The 23,387-nt window shown below is 49.0% G+C and overlaps 3 annotated features.

Annotated features, from left to right (window-relative positions):
* Positions 456–956: an enhancer, noted in NCBI's record as "H3K4me1 hESC enhancer chr10:771745-772245 (GRCh37/hg19 assembly coordinates)". NCBI's record gives its function as "activates a minimal SCP1, AML or CMV promoter by ChIP-STARR-seq in naive H9 embryonic stem cells {active_cell/tissue: H9 hESC(naive)}" and the evidence as "EXISTENCE:reporter gene assay evidence [ECO:0000049][PMID:30033119]".
* Positions 20,394–20,895: an enhancer, noted in NCBI's record as "H3K4me1 hESC enhancer chr10:791683-792184 (GRCh37/hg19 assembly coordinates)". NCBI's record gives its function as "activates a minimal SCP1, AML or CMV promoter by ChIP-STARR-seq in naive and primed H9 embryonic stem cells {active_cell/tissue: H9 hESC(naive and primed)}" and the evidence as "EXISTENCE:reporter gene assay evidence [ECO:0000049][PMID:30033119]".
* Positions 20,896–21,395: an enhancer, noted in NCBI's record as "H3K4me1 hESC enhancer chr10:792185-792684 (GRCh37/hg19 assembly coordinates)". NCBI's record gives its function as "activates a minimal SCP1, AML or CMV promoter by ChIP-STARR-seq in naive and primed H9 embryonic stem cells {active_cell/tissue: H9 hESC(naive and primed)}" and the evidence as "EXISTENCE:reporter gene assay evidence [ECO:0000049][PMID:30033119]".

Genomic DNA, 23,387 nt, shown 5'->3' on the forward strand with positions numbered 1-23,387 from the left:
CGTTAACTTATTTGTTTTTGATATCTGGGTTTCAGAAGCTTAAAGGAAAACGTGCTGGTGCATTTCCTCTATGTTTAGAAACCTGTAGTATTCCTAGGAGGGGTAGAAGCATCTCCAGCTCTTTCAGAAACTCCTGCAAGATGAGATCAGTTCCGGGGCTGGGCTGGCGTCGGCCTGCAATGGGAGGGCCGTGGATGGAGCCAAATACGAGTTCTACCTGGATTTATGTTGATGAAACACACGCTTTCTGATGTAGCCTCCAGTCCTTGTTCGATTGTGGAGGGTCCTGGATGTTTAACAGCACAGTGCCGGCCCCAAGGGTCCCAGGGCCTGCCGACCACCAGCCCTTCCCAGGGCCAGGCAGCAGCCCTGCCCAGAGCCCAGCAGGGTGTGTCTGGAGCCCACCCAGCAGCTGCCCCGGACCCGAATATTCTGCCTGCAGATCCTGGGAAAGCACCACTCCCTGCTTTGGGTGTCTGCATGTTCATAGCACGTTCTCGCTGACATTACTCTGCAGGAAAAGCCCTAGCTGAGAGGCGCAGAAGGCGGGTGCGGCCCCCTCCCTGGTCCTCCCTGTGGGCGCTGCCCAAGCCTCAGCCCTATGTTTCACCAGGCCCAGCCCACATCCCTGCTGGCCTCTGAAGTCCCATCGGCCCCACCCTCCCTGACTTCCTCAGCCTTTCACTGTCCTGGTCTTCGCCTTTTCCCTCATTTCCCGAGCTGCTGTGCAGTGGAAACACTGACTGTGTCTGATCTACTCAAAACAGCATATTTCAGCTCACATTCATCAAAACGCAGCGTCATGCCTAGGAACTGAGGGTGTGGAGGGGATGTGCCCGGGCCGAGCATGTCCTCATGGCCAGCAGCTGTGGGGCAGACACCAGCCACCTCCAGGACTGAGCAAGACCACAACCCTCCCTGGTGAAGCTGCTTACCCTGAGACGAGCCTCACCCAGCCCCATGACGACGGCCACCCTGTGTTCTCCCATATTCATTCATGCACCCGTCGGCTCACCCGTCCACTCACAAGCACCGTATGGTTCACGCACCTGTCGGCTCACCCGTCCACTCACAAGCACCGTATCGTTCACGCACCCGTCGGCTCACCCGTCCACTCACAAGCACCGTATCGTTCACGCACCCGTCGGCTCACCCGTCCACTCACAAGCACCGTATCGTTCACGCACCCGTCGGCTCACCCGTCCACTCACAAGCACCGTATTGTTCACGCACCCGTCGGCTCACCCGTCCACTCACAAGCACCGTATGGTTCACGCACCCGTCGGCTCACCCGTCCACTCACCAAGCACCGTATCGTTCACGCACCCGTCGGCTCACCCGTCCATTCACCAAGCACCGTATCGTTCAGGCACCCATCGGCTCACCCATCCACTCACAAGCACCGTATGGTTCACACACCCGTCGGCTCACCCATCCATTCACCAAGCACCATATCATTCACGCACCCATCAGCTCACCCATCCACTCACAAGCACCGTATCATTCACGCACCCATCAGCTCACTCATCCACTCACCAAGCACCGTATCATTCACGCACCCTTCAGCTTACCCATCCACTAACCAACCACCACCGTGCAGATGGCGTGGAGTGGACGCTGGAGGCGCGTACTCTGGAGACTCGGTCCCACTCTCACCCTTGCTGTGGCTCGATGACCTTCGCTGGACGGTCACCCGGGGCCAGCCCATGCTGGCCAGGGGCAGTGCTGGGGGAGGCTGGAGGGCCAGGCCAGGCTCCCTCTGTCCACTGTGTACATCTGCCTCTCAGGCCTCGCAGGACAACACGTGTCTGCGTGGACCTGGGTGGTAGATGTCACGGTGTTCCTGAAGCACGAGGCACACACCTGCACCACGGTTAAAGCATGAAGGTGCTGGCCTGAGCATGCCCTCATGTTCATTCTTCCCACACCAGAGCTACAGAAATGATAGAGACGTTATTTGAGGCATCCGGACTGACCTGAAGAACAAGAAGGGCTCAGACACGTGTGAACTCCATGTGGACAGATGGGGTGGATGGGACGGTCGGTGGGGCCACAGGCGGGGGCACTGACAGGCAGGGCTGGGGCAGGAGGAGCCCCTCGCCCCTGGGAGCTGGGCAGGCAGCCAACCACAAAGCCACATCCATATCAATCGTCACCAAACTCCAAGGAAAGCCGGCACCGTTGCAGGGAAACACTGCAACAGGAGAGAAGCTGCCGCCAGGGCAGCAGAGCTAATATTAGAATTGGAGCAGGACATGTTAAGAATCTACCTAGCTAATATCCTCAGGGGGACAAAGAGGGATATCTGATGTTTCATGTTGAGCTGTGAAACAACAACAGGTGAAACTGAAATATTTAACTGTTGGGGAAAAGTCTTCATGGAAGAGGAAAGAATGGACTCAGTCTCAAATGAGAACAACAGGCCCACTCTGTGAATTCGATCGGATGAAGCCATCATCCCTGAGCATATCCTGGGCAGCCGGAGGATGCTCTAATGTGACACACGTTTTGTACACGTTACTATCCTGTATTTGAATATCACAAATTTCAAATTCTCTAAAAAAGTGGATTTTTATTTATGCTAGAAATTTCAGTTAAGCAAGACATTTAACCAGAACAGGTTTGCCAGGCATTTTTTTAGCGGCAACACTTTTATTTAAATGGCTGTTAAGTGACGGTCCTTTATACCCAGCCACTAGCCCACCTAGTCCCTTCGTGCAAATGCAGCAAAGGTATCTGGATCTCAGCCGGGCGCGGTGGCTCAGGCCTGAATCCCAGCACTTTGGGAGGCCAAGGCAGGTGCATCACCTGAGGTTAGGAGTTGAGGACCAGCCTAGCCAATATGGTGAATTCCCCATCTCTACTAAAAATATAAAAACTAGCTGGACGTGGTGATGTGCACCTATAATCCCAGCTACTCAGGAGGCGGAGGCAGGAGAATCACTTGAACCGGGAGGTGAAGTTTGCAGTGAGCTGAGATTGCGCCACTGCACTCCAGCCTGGGCAACAGGGTGAGACTCCATCGTGGAAAAAAAAAAGAGAAAATAAATAAATAATAATAATTTAAAAAGATGCCTGGATCTGTATTCACCACGCATGGCAACTACCCCAAAACAACTCTAATACTGAGTGGCCGACACAGCCACCGCGTTTGCCCACGGTTCCGTGGTTGGCGTTTGAGCTGCTCCAGGCTGCTGAGCAGTTCTGCTGGTCACTTGTGCCCTTCAGACCTCTGGGGCACAGGTGTGGCTGGTTGGTCCCCGTGGCCTGGTTCGTGTGTCTGGAGTTAGTCTGGCTGTCGGGTGAGCCATGAGCCTGCAGAATTCTAGCCCGGCTCCTCCACCAGGCCTGGACTCCAGAAGGCCCATTTGCTGCTGTGGCCTGGGCGTGTCACCCACTGGGCCTGGGAGAGCAGCTCCCCACTGGCCCTCCCTGTGCCACCATACCCTCCCTGACACTCCCTGTGCTGCTGTGCCCTTCCTGTACCACCGTGCCCTTCCTGACCCTCCCCAAGCCACCATGCCCTCCCCTAACCTCTCTGTGCTGTCATGCCCTTCCTGTGCCACCATGCCCTCCCCCACCCTCCCTGTGTTGCCGTGCCCTTCCTGTACCACCATGCTCTTCCCGACCCTCCCCAAGACACCATGCCTTCCCCCACCCTCTCTGTGCTGCCATGCCCTTCCTGTGCCACCATGCCCTCCCCAATCCTCCCCCTGCACCATGCGCTCCCCCACCCTCTCTGTGCTGCCATGCCCTCCCCGTGCCGCCATGCCCTCCCTGACCCTCCCCCTGCAGCCGTGCCCTCCCCAGCCCTCCCCGTGCCACCATGCTCTCCCCCACCCTCCCTGTGCTACTGTGCCCGCCCCAGCCCTCCCCATGCTGCCGTGCCCTTCCTGAAGACGCCATCTCCACTGCACACAGAGGGGTTGTGATACGCTGCCCTGACTAGAACAAAATGCTTCACTGCAATTTTCCAGAACTTGTCATAAAACATGTCTCAGGCTATGATTTCTGCAGCGTGAGTGGCAGGACCAGGACAGACGCAGCTGCAGGGCACACCTGCCGGTCATCTGGCTGCTCTGCTGTGCACCTGGTTCTGTGGGCCGTCCTGGGAAGAGCTCCTATAGTGCCTGTGTCTCTGCGGAAAACCCTAAAAATCAGCAAGTCAGACACTCCTAAGCCAGCTCTGAGGCTGCCAGTGAGAACTTCTGATTGCTTTGCACATCCACCAGCTGATGGCAAGCAGAAAACATTCCTGATGCCACTGTGTGCCCGACGACCCGAGGGAGGGCTGTACAGTGCACAGGGGCTGTGGAAACCAGGCCCCCTCAGCAAGGAGCTTCCACCTGTCTGGGGTTTGAAGCTAACACCTGGGACGATTGCGGACCTCTAGCAGATCACACTGTGGGGGCTGCTGCAGGCCAGAGCGGCTGCCAGACCGAGACAACGTGACCATGCCTTCTGGGGCTGCAGCATCAGTGAGGGCACGCACGCCTCACGGGACCCTCTGCCCTGAGCTTCAGCAACAGCTTTTTCTTAGAGTCGGGCGGGGTGGCTGCATTGCTGACGTGCCCTCTCCCGTCCTTGCCAGCGTCTTCTGGAGTCCCCTCTGCCGTCCATCATGACTGCATGAGCGTTGACACCAGGCACTACCCCCCGCCTGACCTTCTGTATTTGATCCTGAGAAACCTGGCAGCTGAGTGACACTCAAGGCTGTGTTTGCATGTTCTCCTTTTCCGAAGTCAAATAAAACTCCTGGGTAAAATATTCTTTTTTATTTATTTATTTATTTTGAGACGGAGTCTTGCTCTGTCGCCAGGCTGGAGTGCAGTGGCGCGATCTTTGCTCACTGCAAGCTCCACCTCCCGGGTTCAAGCGATTCTCCTGTCTCAGCCTCCTGAGTAGCTGGGACTACAGGTGTGTGCCACCACGCCCGGCTAATTTTTGTATTTTTAGTAGAGATGGGGTTTCACCATGTTGGCCAGGATGTTCTCAATCTCCTGACCTCGTGATCCGCCCGCCTCAGCCTCCCAAAGTGCTGGGATTACAGGCGTGAGCCACCATGCCTGGCCTATTCTTTCTTTATTCGCAAGTAGAATAGTAGGAGTGGCGGCCTTACTATCAGTATTTTTTCCTCCCTCTCTTTTATTCAATAGCAGCAAACAAGAGATGCATTTGGTCCAGATTTGGCAAATACCTGCATTAATGTGCCATTAAGAGTAAAATTACTCTTTGTAAAGTGTCTTACAAGTTTAATAAGAAGCAGTTATGTGATTTCATCGAGACAATATTTGAAGATTTTTGTGCCTTGTTCTTCAAATAATTTCCCATTGGAAAAGTGGAGAGATTTATTGAGTTTTTCAGGCAATCCTATTTCTATGTCGCAATCAGAAAATCTAGGCCTTGACCTGCCTCTGCCCTTTTCTGAGAATCAGTGTTGAATAAAGACGGTTTATTAACTTATTCCCAGCTCAGACAGATATAAGGGTGATATTAAAGAAAAAAATGAAGGCCATGTAACAGAAGAGACAAGAAAAATCTACCAAAAGTCATTGTTGTTTCATGGAGCCATAAAAAAGTTGTGAAATTTGTGTAAACACAGATTGGATACAATGTAATTAAATAGAGGCTAATAGACCCCTACTCAAACTGAGTACAATGTAATTCATCAGAGGCTAACAGACCCCTACTCAAACTGAGTACAATGTAGTTAAATAGAGGCCGATAGACTCCTACTCAAACTGAGTACAATGTAATTAAATAGAGGCTGATAGACCCCTACTCAAACTGAGTACAACCTAATTCAACAGAGGCTAACAGACCCCTACTCAAACTGAATACAATATATTTAAATAGAGGATAATGCACCCCTACTCAAACTGAGTACAATGTATTAAATAGAGGCTAATAGACCCCTACTCAAACCTTGTGCGAAACTGATATTCAAAGACCTTTCTCCAGCTGGGACGTGAGTGCTAACAGACTTTGTATAGCTTATTTTACCCATTATTAAAGTGAGGGTTATCTATAAACTTTTAACCACATTTTTTTTCTGGCCAGGTGCAGTGGCTCATGCCTATAATCCCAGCACTTTGGAAGGCTGAGGCAGGAAGACAGCTCAAGGCCAGGAGTTTGCGACCAGCCTGGGCAACATGGTGAGACTCCATCTCTACAAAAAATACAGATTAGCTGGGCGTGGTAGCACGTGCCCGTGGTCTCAGATTCTTGAAGGGCTGAGACGGGAGGATCACTTGAGCCCAGGAGTTTGAGGTTGCAGTGAGCTGAGATTGTGTCACTGCACTTCAGCTTGGGCAACAGAGTGAGACCTTATCTTAAAAAAAAAAAAAAAAAAGGAAAGGAAAGGAGGGGAAGAAAAAGAAAAAATAACAGATGTTGGTGAGGTTGCAGAGAGAAGGGAACACTTATATATACGATGTTGGTGGGAATGTAAGTTAATTCAGCCACTGTGGAAAGCAGCTTGGAGATTTCTCAAAGAACTTATAACAGAGCTGCCATTCCAACCAGGAGTCCCAGTACTGGGTATGTATCCAAAAGAAAACAAATCTCTCTACCAAAAAGACACCTGCACTCGCATGTTAGCGAAGACATGGACTCAACCTAGATACCCATTAGTGGTGGGCGGGATACAGAAAATGGGGTCCATACACACCACGGAATACTACGCAGCCACGAAAAAACAAGATCATGTCTTTTATGGGAACATGGATGGAGCTGGAGGTTATCATCCTTAGCAAACGAGCACAGGAACAGAAAAGCAAATACCGCACGTTCTCATGTTCACGTGGGAGCTAACCACTGAGCACACATGGACACGAAGATGAGAACCACAGACACTGGAGACACCAGGGGGATAGGGAGCAGGGCAAGGGCTGAAAGCTCACTCTCGGGTACTGTGCACAGTGCCTGGGCGACAGGGTCATTCGTAACCCACACCCCAGCAACACGCAATTTACCTGCGGCAACAAACGTGCACGTGTATGCCCAGACCTAAAAGTTGAAAGGAAAACATTGAAAAATATAGAAATTGGAAATAAATATTATGGAGGATTTATTTATTTGATGGAGATGAACATTTCAAAACGTGGTCTGCTCAAATTTTTAGGATAAATGAAAAGCAAAAAGCTTCCCTCATTGTCTGAAGTCAGCTGTTTATCTCCATTGGCACACACATTTTAGGTAATGAATTTGTTAAATAATGATATATGTACATTTAAAACTTGGAGCAATACCAGAAAGTCTCGTTTTTAAAAAACCAATATCATCCCAAATTCCACTGATCAGAAATAAACACTGTCAACATGTGGTGAATGTTATTCAAGATGTCTCTAGAAAGGAAAATCTCTTCTCTGCTATCTCTGAATACGTGTTCTGCTCCTTCTCTGAAGTCGCTATCCAGGGCGCATTGTCCTCGCATGGGTCACACACACCTTCTCCTTCTCCACCTTTGAGCCACCGCTCTCGGCTCCTGGGCGTTTCCCGCTGTCTCTTTCATCATCTCAAGTTCCCCTTTAACTTGACTTTCCAGTCATGTTTATTCTTCCCTTGTTTGTAATTAAATTAAATTAACCGGGAAGGTTTTGTTTTGTTGATGCTATTGTTTCCTTAGCTCTCCACGGCTTCCTGTTGTTTTGCCATCTCGTCTTTGAACTGCTGTTTTATTTCATTCATATAATAATATTTTCCACAGCAAGTGGGAAGCCCTGAAGGGAATTTACTTCTGTTCCTTTTGCAATGTTTCTTCTAGCCTGGGTTCTTCATGTTTTGCTAACCCGGTTCTTTTCCCTCCCTCCTCCCTTCCTCTCTCCCTCCTTCCCACCTGTCATCTTTCCTCCCTTCCTCTCTCCCTCCTTTCTTCCTTCGTTCTTCCTTCTCCTTCTCTCCCTACCCACTCCCTCCCTCCTCCTGTCTCGCTCCTCCTCTTCCTCCCTCGTGCTCGTGGGCAGTCGGCAGCTTGGTTTGCTCTGATGTCCTGCGGCTGAATTTTCTCCCAATCCCATCTGAGACCAGTTTTTCTTCCACGAGGAGGGAGACTGGGAGTTGTTTTTATATCCCAAAGGTACTGTGTGTGTCTGAGGGTGAGTGCATGTGAATGTGTGTGTTCGAGTGTGAGTGTGCATGTTTTGTATGTTTGTGTGTGTGTACATGTGTGTTTGTGAGAGTTTGTGGGTGTGTGTGAAAGACGTCATGTCATACACTCATGTCTAAGTGTGTGAGTTCAGTGTGAGCGTAAGTGTGTATGTACATGTGTTTCTGAGTGTGTCTGAGTGTACAGCGAGGTGGGACAGGGAGGGGTGTAAGAACTCAATTCCATTTATAATAGCCACAAAAACAATACAGTACCTAGGAATACGTTTAATCAAAGAGATGAAAGATCTCTACAAGAAGAGCTACAAAACACGATGAAAGAAATTGTAGATGACACAAAAAACATGGAAAAGCATCGCATGCTCATGAATTGGAAGAATCAGTATCATCGAAATGACCATACTGCCTGGAGCAATCTACAGATTCAATGCAATCCCTATCAAAGTACCAATGTCATTTCTCACAGAATTAGAAAAAACAATCCTAAAGTTCATATGGAACCAAAAAAGAGCCTGAATGGCCAAAGCATTCCTCCTGAGCAAAAAGAACCAATCCAGATGCATCACGTTGCCTGACTTTAAATTATACTACAAGTCTATAGTAACAACAGCGTGGTACTGGTACAAAAATAGACACATAGATCAATGGCATAGAATAGAGAACCCAGAATAAAGCCACATACCTGCAACTGATCTTCAACAAAGTTGACAAAAATAAACAATGAGAAACGGACATCCTATTCAATAAGTGCTGCTGGGAAAACTGGCTGTCAATATCCAGAAGAATAAAACTGGACTCCTATCTCTTATCATGTACAAAAATTATCTCCAGATGGATGAAAGACTGAAACGTGCAGGAAAAGAAATCATCAACCGAGTGAACAGACAAGAAATGGAACGGTAGAAAATATTTACAAATTATGCCTCCAACAAAGGACTAATATCAGAAATGACAAGGAACTCAAACAACAAGAAGAAAAAACAAACCCCATTACAAACTGGGCAAAGGGCACGAACAGACATTTCTCAAAAGAATAAATACACATGGCCAACAACCACATGAAAAAACGCTCAATATCACAAATCATCAGAAAAATGCAAATTAAAACCACATCGAGATATCATCTTGCACCAGTCAGAATGACTATTAAAATGTCAAAAAAAAAAAAAAAACACCAGATGTTGGCATGGATGTGGAGAAAAGGGAATGCTTATGCCCTTTGCTGGGAATGTAAATTAGTTCAACCTCTACGGAAAACAGTATGGAGATTTCTCAAAGACCTAAAAATAGAGCTACCATCCTACCCAGCAATCCCACTTCTGGGCATCTACCCAAAGGAAAAGAAATCATTATACAAAAAAGACACCCATACTTGTATGTTTATCAAAGCACCACTCACAGTAGCAAACTCATGGAACCAACCTAAGCGTCCATTAATGGTTGACTGGATACAGGAAACGTGGCACATCCAAACTATGGAATATTATGCAGCCATACAAAAGAATGAAACCACATCCTTTGCAGCAACGTGGTTGGAGCTGGAGACCATTATCTTAAATGAACTGACTCGGAAACAGAAAAGCAAATACTGCATGTTCTCACTTATCAGTGGGAGCTAAATGGTGGGTACACATGGACATAAAGAAGGAAACAACAGACACTGAGGACTTGAGAAGGGGGAGGGAGGAATGGGGGCGAGGGATGAAAAACTACCTGTCAGGTGCAGCGCTCACCGTTTGGGTAATGGGCACTCTAGAAGCTCAATCCCCTCAGTGCGCAATACACCCATGGGACAAACATGCACGTGTATCCCTTGAACCTAAAATAAAACCAAGTTTAAAAAAAAAAAAAAAAAAGAGGAAAAGGAGAAAAATGGAAGCACAGCAATTTCCCTGAAGTTGAAGTTGAAAACTAGCACCCAGACCCAGGATACCAGCACCCAGACCCGGACAGAGTGAGGCTCCAGACCCGGATAGAGTGAGGCTCCAGACCCAGGACAGAGTGAGGCTCCAGACCCGGGACAGAGTGAGGCACCAGACCCGGGACAGAGTGAGGCTCCAGACCCGGACAGAGGGAGGCTCCAGACCCGGGACAGAGTGAGGCTCCAGACCCGGGACAGAGTAAGGCTCCAGACCCGAAGAGAGTGAGGCTCCAGACCCGGACAGAGTGAGGCTCCAGACCCGGACAGAGTGAGGCTCCAGACCCGGATAGAGTGAGGCTCCAGACCCGGATAGAAGGAGGCTCCAGACCCGGGACAGAGTGAGGCTCCAGACCCGGGACAGAGTGAGGCTCCAGACCCGGGACAGAGTGAGGCTCCAGACCCGGATAGAGGGAGGCTCCAGACCCAGGTAGAGTGAGGCTTCAGACCCGGGACAGAGTGAGGCTCCAGACCCGGGACAGAGTGAGGCTCCAGACCCGGGACAGAGTGAGGCTCCAGACCCGGGACAGAGTGAGGCTCCAGACCCGGATAGAGTGAGGCTCCAGACCCAGGTAGAGTGAGGCTCCAGACCCGGGTAGAGTGAGGCTCCAGACCCGGATAGAGTGAGGCTCCAGACCCGGGACAGAGTGAGGCTCCAGACCCGGGACAGAGTGAGGCTCCAGACCCGGATAGAGTGAGGCTCCAGACCCGGGACAGAGTGAGGCTCCAGACCCGGACAGAGTGAGGCTCCAGACCCGGATAGAGTGAGGCTTCAGACCCGGGACAGAGTGAGGCTCCAGACCCGGACAGAGTGAGGCTCCAGACCCGGGACAGAGTGAGGCTCCAGACCCGGGACAGAGTGAGGCTCCAGACCCGGATAGAGTGAGGCTTCAGACCCGGGACAGAGTGAGGCTCCAGACCCGGACAGAGTGAGGCTCCAGACCTGGGACAGAGTGAGGCTCCAGACCCGGACAGAGTGAGGCTCCAGACCCGGATAGAGGGAGGCTCCAGACCCAGGTAGAGTGAGGCTCCAGACCCGGACAGAGTGAGGCTCCAGACCCAGACAGAGTGAGGCTCCAGACCCGGGACAGAGTGAGGCTCCAGACCCGGACAGAGTGAGGCTCCAGACCCGGATAGAGTGAGGCTTCAGACCCGGGACAGAGTGAGGCCCCAGACCCGGACAGAGTGAGGCTCCAGACCCGGGACAGAGTGAGGCTCCAGACCCGGGACAGAGTGAGGCTCCAGACCCGGATAGAGTGAGGCTTCAGACCCGGGACAGAGTGAGGCTCCAGACCCGGACAGAGTGAGGCTCCAGACCCGGGACAGAGTGAGGCTCCAGACCCGGACAGAGTGAGGCTCCAGACCCGGATAGAGGGAGGCTCCAGACCCAGGTAGAGTGAGGCTCCAGACCCGGGACAGAGTGAGGCTCCAGACCCGGGACAGAGTGAGGCTCCAGACCCGGATAGAGGGAGGCTCCAGACCCGGATAGAGGGAGGCTCCAGACCCGGGACAGAGTGAGGCTCCAGACCCGGGACAGAGTGAGGCTCCAGACCCAGGTAGAGTGAGGCTTCAGACCCAGGTAGAGTGAGGCTCCAGACCCGGGACAGAGTGAGGCTCCAGACCCGGGACAGAGTGAGGCTCCAGACCCGGATAGAGTGAGGCTTCAGACCCAGGTAGAGTGAGGCTCCAGACCCGGATAGAGTGAGGCTCCAGACCCGGATAGAGTGAGGCTCCAGACCCGGGACAGAGTGAGGCTCCAGACCCGGGACAGAGTGAGGCTCCAGACCCGGATAGAGTGAGGCTTCAGACCCGGGTAGAGTAAGGCTTCAGACCCAGGTAGAGTGAGGCTCCAGACCCGGATAGAGTGAGGCTCCAGACCCGGATAGAGTGAGGCTCCAGACCCGGGACAGAGTGAGGCTCCAGACCCGGGACAGAGTGAGGCTCCAGACCCGGGACAGAGTGAGGCTCCCAGACCCGGACAGAGTGAGGCGCCAGACCCGGACAGAGTGAGGCTCCAGACCCGGATAGAGTGAGGCTCCAGACCCGGGACAGAGTGAGGCTCCAGACCCGGGACAGAGTGAGGCTCCAGACCCGGGACAGAGTGAGGCTCCAGACCCGAATAGAGTGAGGCTCCAGACCCAGGTAGAGTGAGGCTTCAGACCCGGATAGAGTGAGGCTCCAGACCCGGATAGAGTGAGGCTCCAGACCCGGATAGAGTGAGGCTCCAGACCTGGATAGAGTAAGGCTTCAGACCCAGTTAGAGTGAGGCTACAGACCCGGATAGAGGGAGGCTCCAGACCCGGGACAGAGGGAGGCTCCAGACCCGGATAGAGGGAGGCTCCAGACCCAGACAGAGGGAGGCTCCAGACCCGGGACAGAGTGAGGCTCCAGACCCGAATAGAGTGAGGCTCCAGACCCGGATAGAGTGAGGCTCCAGACCCGGACAGAGTGAGGCTCCAGACCCGGATAGAGGGAGGCTCCAGACCCGGACAGAGTGAGGCTCCAGACCCGGGACAGAGTGAGGCTCCAGACCCGAATAGAGTAAGGCTCCAGACCCAGGTAGAGTGAGGCTTCAGACCCAGGTAGAGTGAGGCTCCAGACCCGGATAGAGGGAGGCTCCAGACCCGGATAGAGGGAGGCTCCAGACCCGGATAGAGTAAGGCTTCAGACCCAGGTAGAGTGAGGCTCCAGACCCGGATAGAGGGAGGCTCCAGACCCGGGACAGAGTGAGGCTCCAGACCCGGATAGAGGGAGGCTCCAGACCCGGACAGAGGGAGGCCCCAGACCCGGGACAGAGTGAGGCTCCAGACCCGAATAGAGTAAGGCTCCAGACCCGGATAGAGTGAGGCTCCAGACCCGGATAGAGTGAGGCTCCAGACCCGGACAGAGTGAGGCTCCAGACCCGGATAGAGGGAGGCTCCAGACCCGGATAGAAGGAGGCTCCAGACCCGGGACAGAGTGAGGCTCCAGACCCGGGACAGAGTGAGGCTCCAGACCCGGGACAGAGTGACGCTCCAGACCCGGGACAGAGGGAGGCTCCAGACCCGGATAGAGTGAGGCTCCAGACCCGGATAGAGTGAGGCTCCAGACCCCGGACAGAGTGAGGCTCCAGACCCGGGACAGAGTGAGGCTCCAGACCCGGGACAGAGTGAGGCTCCAGACCCGGACAGAGTGAGGCTCCAGACCTGGATAGAGTGAGGCTCCCAGACCCGGATAGAGTGAGGCTCCAGACCCAGATAGAGTGCGGCTCCAGACCCGGATAGAGTGAGGCTCCAGACCCGGGACAGAGTGAGGCTCCAGACCTGGATAGAGTGAGGCTCCCAGACCCGGATAGAGTGAGGCTCCAGACCCAGATAGAGTGCGGCTCCAGACCCGGATAGAGTGAGGCTCCAGACCCGGGACAGAGTGAGGCTGCAGATCTAGCATCACTAAGCCACTTTATCTTGAATATCCAAAGATCAACACAAGGAAACCATTGGGGGGTGTGTGAGGGAAAGTCTAATGAATCCATCCAAAATAGGATGTGAATTTTACTTCCAGACTCTAAGCATGATGTGTGTAAACTGTGTGTCTTAAGGGAATAACTTTCAATTAAATAAACTTTCAACTAAAAGCACCTGTAACACATCCAGGTTTTAATTTTGCCACTAAGGACGCATTGCATTACAGCCTGGGTCACCTGATCCATAAACCACAACTCGTCTTTGGGTCCTTTGAGGCACATGTGATCCTCAGGGTTGTGTCCATGTATCCAGCATCCCACATGCATCTGTTGTGTGCTGGGCACAATTCTAAGGTCTTAAAAAGGTGGATATGAGGAGGTGGTGTTCTGAGACTGAGGTCTCACAAGTGTCTTGCTCAGGAAATAATTGTAAAAGATACCTAGCCTCAGACAGGAAGAAACACCTGTGATATGTTATAAAGTAAAGAAACAAAGTGGCAGAATAATATATAACCTCATTTTTAAACAAAAAACACTGTGTGTGTGCATGTATGTATGTGTCTGCATGTGTCTGTTTGTGTGTCTGTGCATGTATGTATGTTTGTATGTGTGTGCATGTGTGTGTATGTGTCTGTGCATGTATGTGTCTCTGTTTGCGTGTGCATGTATGTCTGAGTGTGTTTGTACATGTGCATGTCTGTGTGTCTGCATGTATGGGTCTGTGAGTGCATGTATGTGTCTGCATTCATGTGTGTGTCTGTGCATGTGTCTGTGTGTGTGTCTGTGCATGTATGTATGTGTCTGTGTGTCTGTGCATATATGTATGTGTCTGTGTGCGTGTCTGTGTGTGTCCATGCATGTATGTGTCTGTGTCTGTGCATGTATGTGTCTGTGTGTCTGGGCGTGTGTGTATGTGTCTGTGTGTGTGTCTGTGTTTGTGTGTCTGTGCATGTATGTGTCTGTGTGTGTTGTGTGTGCATGTGCACATGAGCACATGGGAGAAGTCTAACGGGGTTAACTTCTAACTGATCGCATGTGTCAGTGTCACATGGTGGAAGGACGGGAGAACTGGAGCATCTCACTTGTCACTTTACACTTTTTATATTTTTTGAATTTATTTTATGCTGAGGATTTATTACTTATTTCCATTAGTTGTTATTTTTATTGTGATAAAATACACGTAACAGGCCAGGCATGGTGGCTCATGACTGTAATCCCAGCACTTTGGGAGGCCAAGGAGGGCAAATCACCTGAGGTCAGGAGTTCAAGACCAGCCTGGCCAACATGGTGAAACCCCATCTCTACTAAAAATACAAAAATTAACTGGGTGTGCTGATGCATGCCTGTAACCTGAGCTACTTGGGAGGCTGAGGAAGGAGAATCACTTGAACCTGGGAGGTGGAGGTTGCACTAAGTCGAGATTGTGCCACTGCACTCCAGCCTGAGTGACAGTGAGACTCTGTCTCAAAAAAAAAAAAAAAAAAAAAAATTAGCCGGGCGTGGTGGTGGGCACCTGTAGTCCCAGCTACTCATGAGGCTGAGGCAGGAGAATCACTTGAACCCGGGAGGCGGAGGTTGCAGTGAGCCGAGATGGCACCACTGTACGCCAGCCTGGCGACAGAGTGAGACTCCGTCTCAAAAACAAAAAACAAAACACATATAACATAAAATTAACCACTTTTAAGTGAACAGTTCAGTGGCACCAAGCACACACGCACTGCTGTGCGACCATCACCACCATCATCCCCAGGGCCCTGTCTTCCCAAACAGAAACTCTTTGCCATTAAACACCTGCTCCCTGCCCACCTCCCCCAGCCCCGGGCACCCACCCTTCCATTTTCTCTGTGCATCTCACGCAACTCCAGGGACCTCCTGTGAGTGGAATCATGTAGCGTTTGCCCCTTTGTCCTCTGTGTCTGGCTTAATTCACCTCAGCACGACGTCCTCAAGGTTCATCCGTGTTGCAGCCTGCGTTCGAATTTCCTTCTTTTCCCAGCCTGCTTTAAGCAAAATCCCCAGCTGTCACCATACTTGATGCTGAGACTGAATTCTTTCTCCCTCAGCTCAAATACGACTTGCTGTGCCCTCACAGGTCTCCCTCCTTAATTCAAAGTGAACTGTGAAAACAGCCAGAAATAATGATAAAAGGGTGACAGGTGGAAATAATAATCCATATGAGACTATATGGTAAATTTTACAGACATAAATTGACTCTGATTCTTTATTAGCAAAGAGAATAAAACTGACTTTTTTTTGAGACAGGGTCTCGCTCTGCTGCCCAGGCTGGAGTGCAGTGGTGCGGATCATAGTTCGCTGCAACCTTGACCTCCTGGGCTCAAGAGATCCTCCCGCTTCAGCTTCCCGAGTAGCGGGGATTACAGGTGTGAGCCACCGCACCCAGCTGAAAGAAAGTCTTTTACACAGAAACATAGCATTACCATAAGAACAAAAGGCAGAATACATACATAATGAGGACACCTAAAGACCTGCCACAAAGGCCCATGAGAAAATCCAAACAATTAACAAAGACTCATATTTCAATGACCCATTAATCACAACTATATAACATTAAACCTACCTATATATTAACATTAGAAACACATTTCAACTCATCCGTACATCCCACACACTTTAATACAAATAGCAAAAGAAATCATTAACTGGGTCAAAAAAAAAACCTAACTATTGAACTCATGTACTATTATTTAAAGAGTACCTACAGAATTCTCACCTCAATATTTTCTTGCAAAATAAGTTCTTTTTAAGTCTAAATAATATCCTATTGTATGCAGACGTGAGCCACAGTCTCAGGGGAGATTGCTGCAGACTTCCAGGTGGAAGGTGTTGATGGAGGCCATGTTGCCATCTACCCCACACTCCAAATCATGTGAATTAATGTGCAGTCCCTCCAATGGTAGATGAGAACATTTACTTCACCACAGGCTTACCAACATTGGATACTAATTTTTTAAATGTTTGCTAATCTGATAGGTTTAAAAAATCATATTAATCATTTCTTTCACTTTGATTTCCCAGCCTAATATTGAGGTATAACTTATTTCCATATGTATATTGGCTATTTGAATTTCTTCTGTGAATTACCTCTTCCGATACTTTCCCTGTTTCTCTACCGGTTTCTTTCAAAAAATATTATTGCCTAGACCACTGTTACATACATCAAGGTGAAACGGAAGATTAAACAGTTTTGCAGGTAATTCAAGAAAAGAAAACCTTCATTTTGTACTTAATTATCCAGATGTTCCAAGTGCAAATTTTGATTTGAACTATCCATGTAATTACCTTAATTCCTTAGTTTGCCATTTCAGCCAAGAAAACTTAGATTATTTTCATTGTACTTTCACTGAATAATTTTAAAATAAAACTCTGTTCAACTTTGTTCTTACCACAACCAAAAATCTAGCACTGGAAATTAGTTCCACCTCATCTGTTTTCAGCAGCAGTCTCTGGCGAAGCCTTTCTTACTGCTTTTACCTAAAAACCTCTTCCAAAGCTTTGTTGTTAGGGTGTGCTCTTCTTGGCCATTTTAACTGAACTGGTCAAGTTGGAGAAGAAATAAATGAGACGACCCTACTGTGTGCTAAACACCCCCCACCAGGCCACGCGTCCATCTTCAGGCGGCCATGGCGTGGTCTGGGGAGGCTTAGGGGGTCGGTCGTGGGGAGGAGCTTCCAGTGAAGAGTAAACAGCAAAAGATGAGATATTCCAACAGGAAGGGAAATGAAAATAGAAGATTCAGTCGTTATTTACGGCGGCTACAATTTTCTCCATAAAATGAAAATGAAATCAAATGAAAAGAATTAAAATAGATTTTTAGCCAAGTGGCAGCATAAACAGAAGGATGAACCTTGAAGGCACGACAGCTCACCTGTAACCGGCAGTGCGTCTGCCTAGAAAATGAGGAAAGAGAGCGAGAACACACCACCCTTGACAGGATCTAAAAATATAAAACAGCTTTGAAATTGTAATTCAGGAGACGAATAGCAGGCCGGGCGCAGTGCCTCATGCCTGTAATCCCAGCACTCTGGGAGGCCAAAGTGGCTGGATCACGTGAGGTCAGGGGTTCGAGACCAGCCTGGCCAACATGGTCAAACCCCATCTCTACTAAAACTACAAAAATTAGCTGGGCATGGTGGTGGGTCCCTGTAATCCCAGCTACTCAGGAGGCTGAGGTAGAAGAATTGCTTGAACCCGGGAAGTGGAGGTTGCAGTGAGCCAAGATCACACCACTGCACTCCAGCCTGGCCGACAGAGTAAGACTTTGTGTCAAAAATCTATCAGTCAATCAATCACTGAACTGGCAGTGAGTTTACCGTGTTTTCCTTCTCAAAAAAAAGAAAGAAAGAAAGAGAAAGAAAGACGTTTTCATGTCAAAGAAAACAATTTCTCACCAGTAAACTCTCACAACATGAAATGCTAAAAGAATTTCTTTCAGAATGAAAGGAGTTGAGATGAGATGAAAATGTGGATCCTTAGAAGTGAATGAAGAGCAGAAGAAATGGTAAATATCTGGGCAAATACAAAAGATGTTTTTTTCTTTATTGCCTTTAATTCTTTTATACTGCATGTGACTGTTTAAAGCAAATACTACAACATTACCTTGTGGAGTTCATAATAGGTGTAAATAAAATACGTCTAACAACGATACCATAAAGAATGTGGGCGGGAGAAATACTGACCTATGTGACTGTGGAGTTTCCACATTTCATGTGACGTATTAAAACGGCAGCTGTGATTGGATGTGAGAGTGAAGGGTGTCGAATCCCGGTTCCTGTTCTAAAGGAACTCTCCTTCCTGTCTTTCCCACTAAATGCAGCAGCTATTAAACAACCTGAATATGACGTATGGAGCAGCGAATGGAAGTCTCTGAACAGTAAATAGTAACAGGCACATTGGGAAGAAGAACAGAATTTTAAATATCATGAACGGGCAGTGAGTTTACCATGTTTTCCTTCAGCGTCATCCAGCCTAGACTCAATACAGCCTAAAATCTAGACTACAGGGTATGGATACAGACAGCCACAGATGCCCTCAAGTTTTGGGTTGAGTCATTAGAAAGGGGTCTCCTAACACTCAGAAATTTCCCATTACAAATATGTATATATGTATATATTCGCTCACGTCCTAATCCCTAAGTAATTCTGTGGTGGCAGCAGTGGCAACAACAGCCAGAAGGACCCACCCACAGGAGCTTAAACTGGTGGGCAGCCAGACCTTCCTCTCCACGTGGAGGAGCCATGGCACTGGGCTGGGTGGTGGCACTGGGCTGGGTGGGGGCACTGGGCTGGGTGGTGGCACTGGGCTGGGTAGGGACACTGGGCTGGGTGGAGACACTGGGCTGGGTGGAGACACTGGGCTGGGTGGGGGCCCTGGGCTGGGTGGGGACAGTGGGCTGGGTGGGGGCCCTGGGCTGGGTAGGGACACTGGGCTGGGTGGGGGCACTGGGCTGGGTGGGGGCACTGGGTTGGGTGGAGGCACTGGGCTGGGTGGAGACACTGGGCTGGGTGGGGGCACTGGGCTGGGTGGAGGCACTGGGCTGGGTGGGGACACTGGGCTGGGTGGGGACACTGGGCTGGGTGGGGGCACTGGGCTGGGTGGGGGCACTGGGCTGGGTGGGGACACTGGGCTGGGTGGGGGCACTGGGCTGGGTGGGGACACTGGGCTGGGTGGAGGCACTGGGCTGGGTGGAGACACACCTCAGTTTCCTTTCTTCTCTTCTCTGGTTGGCTGGCCCTGGATGCAGGAGCAGTGGCATGAGGTGGACAGCAGGACAAGGTGAAGAAAGTTCCAGTTTTCTGACTGGAGGATTGAAATGGGGAGCTCCAGCACATTTGAAAAGTGCCAGGACATCATGGAGGAAAAGGAGCTCAGAACACCAGGACATTGTGGAGGAAAAGGAGCTCAGAACACCAGGACATCGTGGAGGAAAAGGAGCTCAGAACACCAAATCCATGAAGCTGTTTATGAACGTCTGGGCTCACCTCTGAACTATGCATGCATAGATCTGACTTGAAACATATGTACAATTTTCATAAGACTTAAACAAGACCTCAAATACTGTACCATAATATTCAAATTGTCCAACATACAATCCAAAATTACTTAATATAAGGCCAGGCACAGTAGCTCTTGCCTGTAATCCTAGCACTTTGGGAGGCCAATGTGGGTGGATCACCTGAGGTCAGGAGTTCAAGACCAGCCTGGCCAACATGTTGAAACCCTGTCTCTACTAAAAGCACAAAAATTAGCTGGGTGTGGTGGTGCATGCCTATAATCCCAGCTACTAGGGAGTGTCCCAGGTTTTTTTGTTTTGTTTGTTTTTTTGAGATGGAGTCTCACTCTATCACCCAGGCTGGAGTGCAGTGGTGCGATCTTGGTTCACTGCAAGCTCTGCCTCCCAGGTTCACACCATCCTCCTGCCTTAGCCTCCCAACTGGCTGGGACTACAGGCACATGCTGCCACACCTGGCTAATTTTTTGTATTTTTAGTAGAGATGGGGTTTCACTGTGTTAGCCAGGATGGTCTCGATCTCCTGACCTCGTGATCTGCCCGCCTCGGCCTCCCAAAGTGCTGGGATTACAGGCATGAGCCACCGCGCCCAGCCCCAGGTTTTTACTTGAACCCGGGAGGTGGAGGTTGCAGTGAGCCAAGATCGCGCCACTGCACTCCAGCCTGAGCGACAAGAGCAAAACTCTGTCTCAAAAAAATAAATAAATAATTAAATTAAATTAGAAAGCACACATGGAGCTTGAAAAAGGGAAAGATATTCCCACCCAAGGTGATGAGCCCAACACAGGCTGCGTGGGCTCGTTACCTCATGGTAAGGAAGTATTCCAGGCCCAATGCTCATCTTTATGCAGCCTAAAGGGGGTCAAAGGACTTCATGCATGTGACTGCCTTTCCAAACACCAAATGGAAAAAATTTTAACAAAATACTATCATGGAAAAATTAAAACTCAACAGATAGTCTCAGCAGAAGAATGGAAATGACAGAGGAAAAAGACGGCAAACTTGAAGAAGGACCAACAGAAATTATCCAACCTAAACAGAGACAGAAAAAGACTGAAAAAATGACAGCTTCAGGGACTCATAGGACAACATCAAAATGTCTAATATTCATGCTACCAGAGTCCCAGAAGAAGCGAAGAAAGCGTATGATGCAAAAAGAAGCATTTGGGAGCGACGCAGAAGACGGGTGATTTCTGCATTTCCATCTGAGGTACCGGGTTCATCTCACTAGGGAGTGCCAGACAGTGGGTGCAGGTCAGTGGGTGCACGCACCGTGCGCGAGCCGAAGCAGGGCGAGGCATTGCCTCACTTGGGAAGCGCAAGGGCTCAGGGAGTTCCCTTTCCTAATCAAAGAAAGGGGTGACGGACGGCACCTGGAGAATCGGGTCACTCCCACTCGAATACTGCGCTTTTCCGAGGGGCTTAAAAAACGGCACACCACGAGATTATATCCTGAACCTGGCTCGGAGGGTCCTACCCCACGGAGTCTCTGATTGCTAGCACAGCAGTCTGAGATCAAACTGCAAGGCGGCAGCGAGGCTGGGGGAGGGGCGCCCACCACTGCCCAGGCTTGCTTAGGTAAACAAAGCAGCTGGGAAGCTCGAACTGGATGGAGCCCACCACAGCTCTATTACTTAGACTCCCACACAGTAATAGTGGGAGGCTTTAACACCCCAACGTCAGTATTAGACAGATTGAGACAGAAAATTAACAAGGGTATTCAGGACTTGAACTCAGCTCTGCGCCAAGCGGACCTAATAGACATCTACAGAACTCTCCACCCCACATCAACAGAATATACATTTTTTTTCAGCACCACACCACACCTATTCCAAAATTGACCACATACTTGGAAGTAAAGCTCTCCTCAGCAAATGTAAAAGAACAGAAATTATAACAAACTATCTCTCAGACCACAGTGCAATCAAACTAGAACTCAGGATTAAGAATCTCACTCAAAACCGCTCAACTACATGGAAACTGAACAACCTGCTCCTGAATGACTACTGGGTACATAACGAAATGAAGGCAGAAATAAAGATGTTCTTTGAAACCAATGAGAATAAAGACACAACATACCAGAATCTCTGGGACACATTCAAAGCAGTGTCTAGAGGGAAATTTATAGCACTAAATGCCCACAAGAGAAAGCAGGAAAGATCCAAAATTGACACCCTAACATCACAATTAAAAGAACTAGAAAAGCAAGAGCAAACACATTCAAAAGCTAGCAGAAGGCAAGAAATAACTAAAATCAGAGCAGAACTGAAGGAAAGAGAGACACAAAAAACCCTTCAAAAAATTAATGAATCCAGGAGCTGGTTTTTTGAAAGGAGCAACAAAATTGATAGACCGCTAGCAAGACTAATAAAGAAAAAAAGAGAGAAGAATCAAATAGATGCAATAAAAAATGATAAAGGGGATATCACCACCGATCCCACAGAAATACAAACTACCATCAGGGAATACTACAAACACCTCTACGCAAATAAACTAGAAAATCTAGAAGAAATGGATAAATTCCTCGACACATACACCCTCCCAAGACTAAACCAGGAAGAAGTTGAATCTCTGAATAGACCAATAACAGGATCTGAAATTGTGGCAATAATCAATAGCTTACCAACCAAAAAGAGTCCAGGACCAGATGGATTCACAGCCGAATTCTACCAGAGGTACAAGGAGGAACTGGTACCATTCCTTCTGAAACTATTCCAATCAATAGAAAAAGAGGGAATCCTCCCTAACTCATTTTATGAGGCCAGCATCATTCTGATACCAAAGCCGGGCAGAGACACAACCAAAAAAGAGAATTTTAGACCAATATCCTTGATGAACATTGATGCAAAAATCCTCAATAAAATACTGACAAACTGAATCCAGCAGCACATCAAAAAGCTTATCCACCATGATCAAGTGGGCTTCATCCCTGGGATGCAAGGCTGGTTCAATATACGCAAATCAATAAATGTAATCCAGCATATAAACAGAGCCAAAGACAAACACCACATGATTATCTCAATAGATGCAGAAAAGGCCTTTGACAAAATTCAACAACCCTTCATGCTAAAAACTCTCAATAAATTAGGTATTGATGGGACATATTTCAAAATAATAAGAGCTATCTATGACAAACCCACAGCTAATATCATACTGAATGGGCAAAAACTGGAAGCATTCCCTTTGAAAACTGGCACAAGACAAGGATGCCCTCTCTCACCACTCCTATTCAACAGAGTATTGGAAGTTCTGGCCAGGGCAATTAGACAGGAGAAGGAAATAAAGGGTATTCAATTAGGAAAAGAGGAAGTCAAATTGTCCCTGTTTGCAGATGACATGATTGTATATCTAGAAAACCCCATTGTCTCAGCCCAAAATCTCCTTAAGCTGATAAGCAACTTCAGCAAAGTCTCAGGATACAAAATCAATGTGCAAAAATCACAAGCATTCCTATACACCAACAACAGACAAACAGAGAGCCAAATCATGAGTGAACTCCCATTCACAATTACTTCAAACAGAATAAAATACCTAGGAATCCAACTTACAAGGGACGTGAAGGACCTCTTCAAGGAGAACTACAAACCACTGCTCAAGGAAATAAAAGAGGATACAAACAAATGGAAGAACATTCCATGCTCATGGGTAGGAAGAATCAATATCGTGAAAATGGCCATACTGCCCAAGGTAATTTACAGATTCAATGCCATCCCCATCAAGCTACCAATGCCTTTCTTCACAGAATTGGAAAAAACTACTTTAAAGTTCACATGGAACCAAAAAAGAGCCTGCATCACCAAGCCAATCCTAAGCCAAAAGAACAAAGCTGGAGGCATCACACTACCTGACTTCAAACTATACTACAAGGCTACAGTAACCAAAACAGCATGGTA

The sequence above is a fragment of the Homo sapiens genome, chromosome 10 (genome assembly GCF_000001405.40).
Source record: "Homo sapiens chromosome 10, GRCh38.p14 Primary Assembly".
Taxonomy (NCBI): Eukaryota; Metazoa; Chordata; class Mammalia; order Primates; family Hominidae; genus Homo; species Homo sapiens.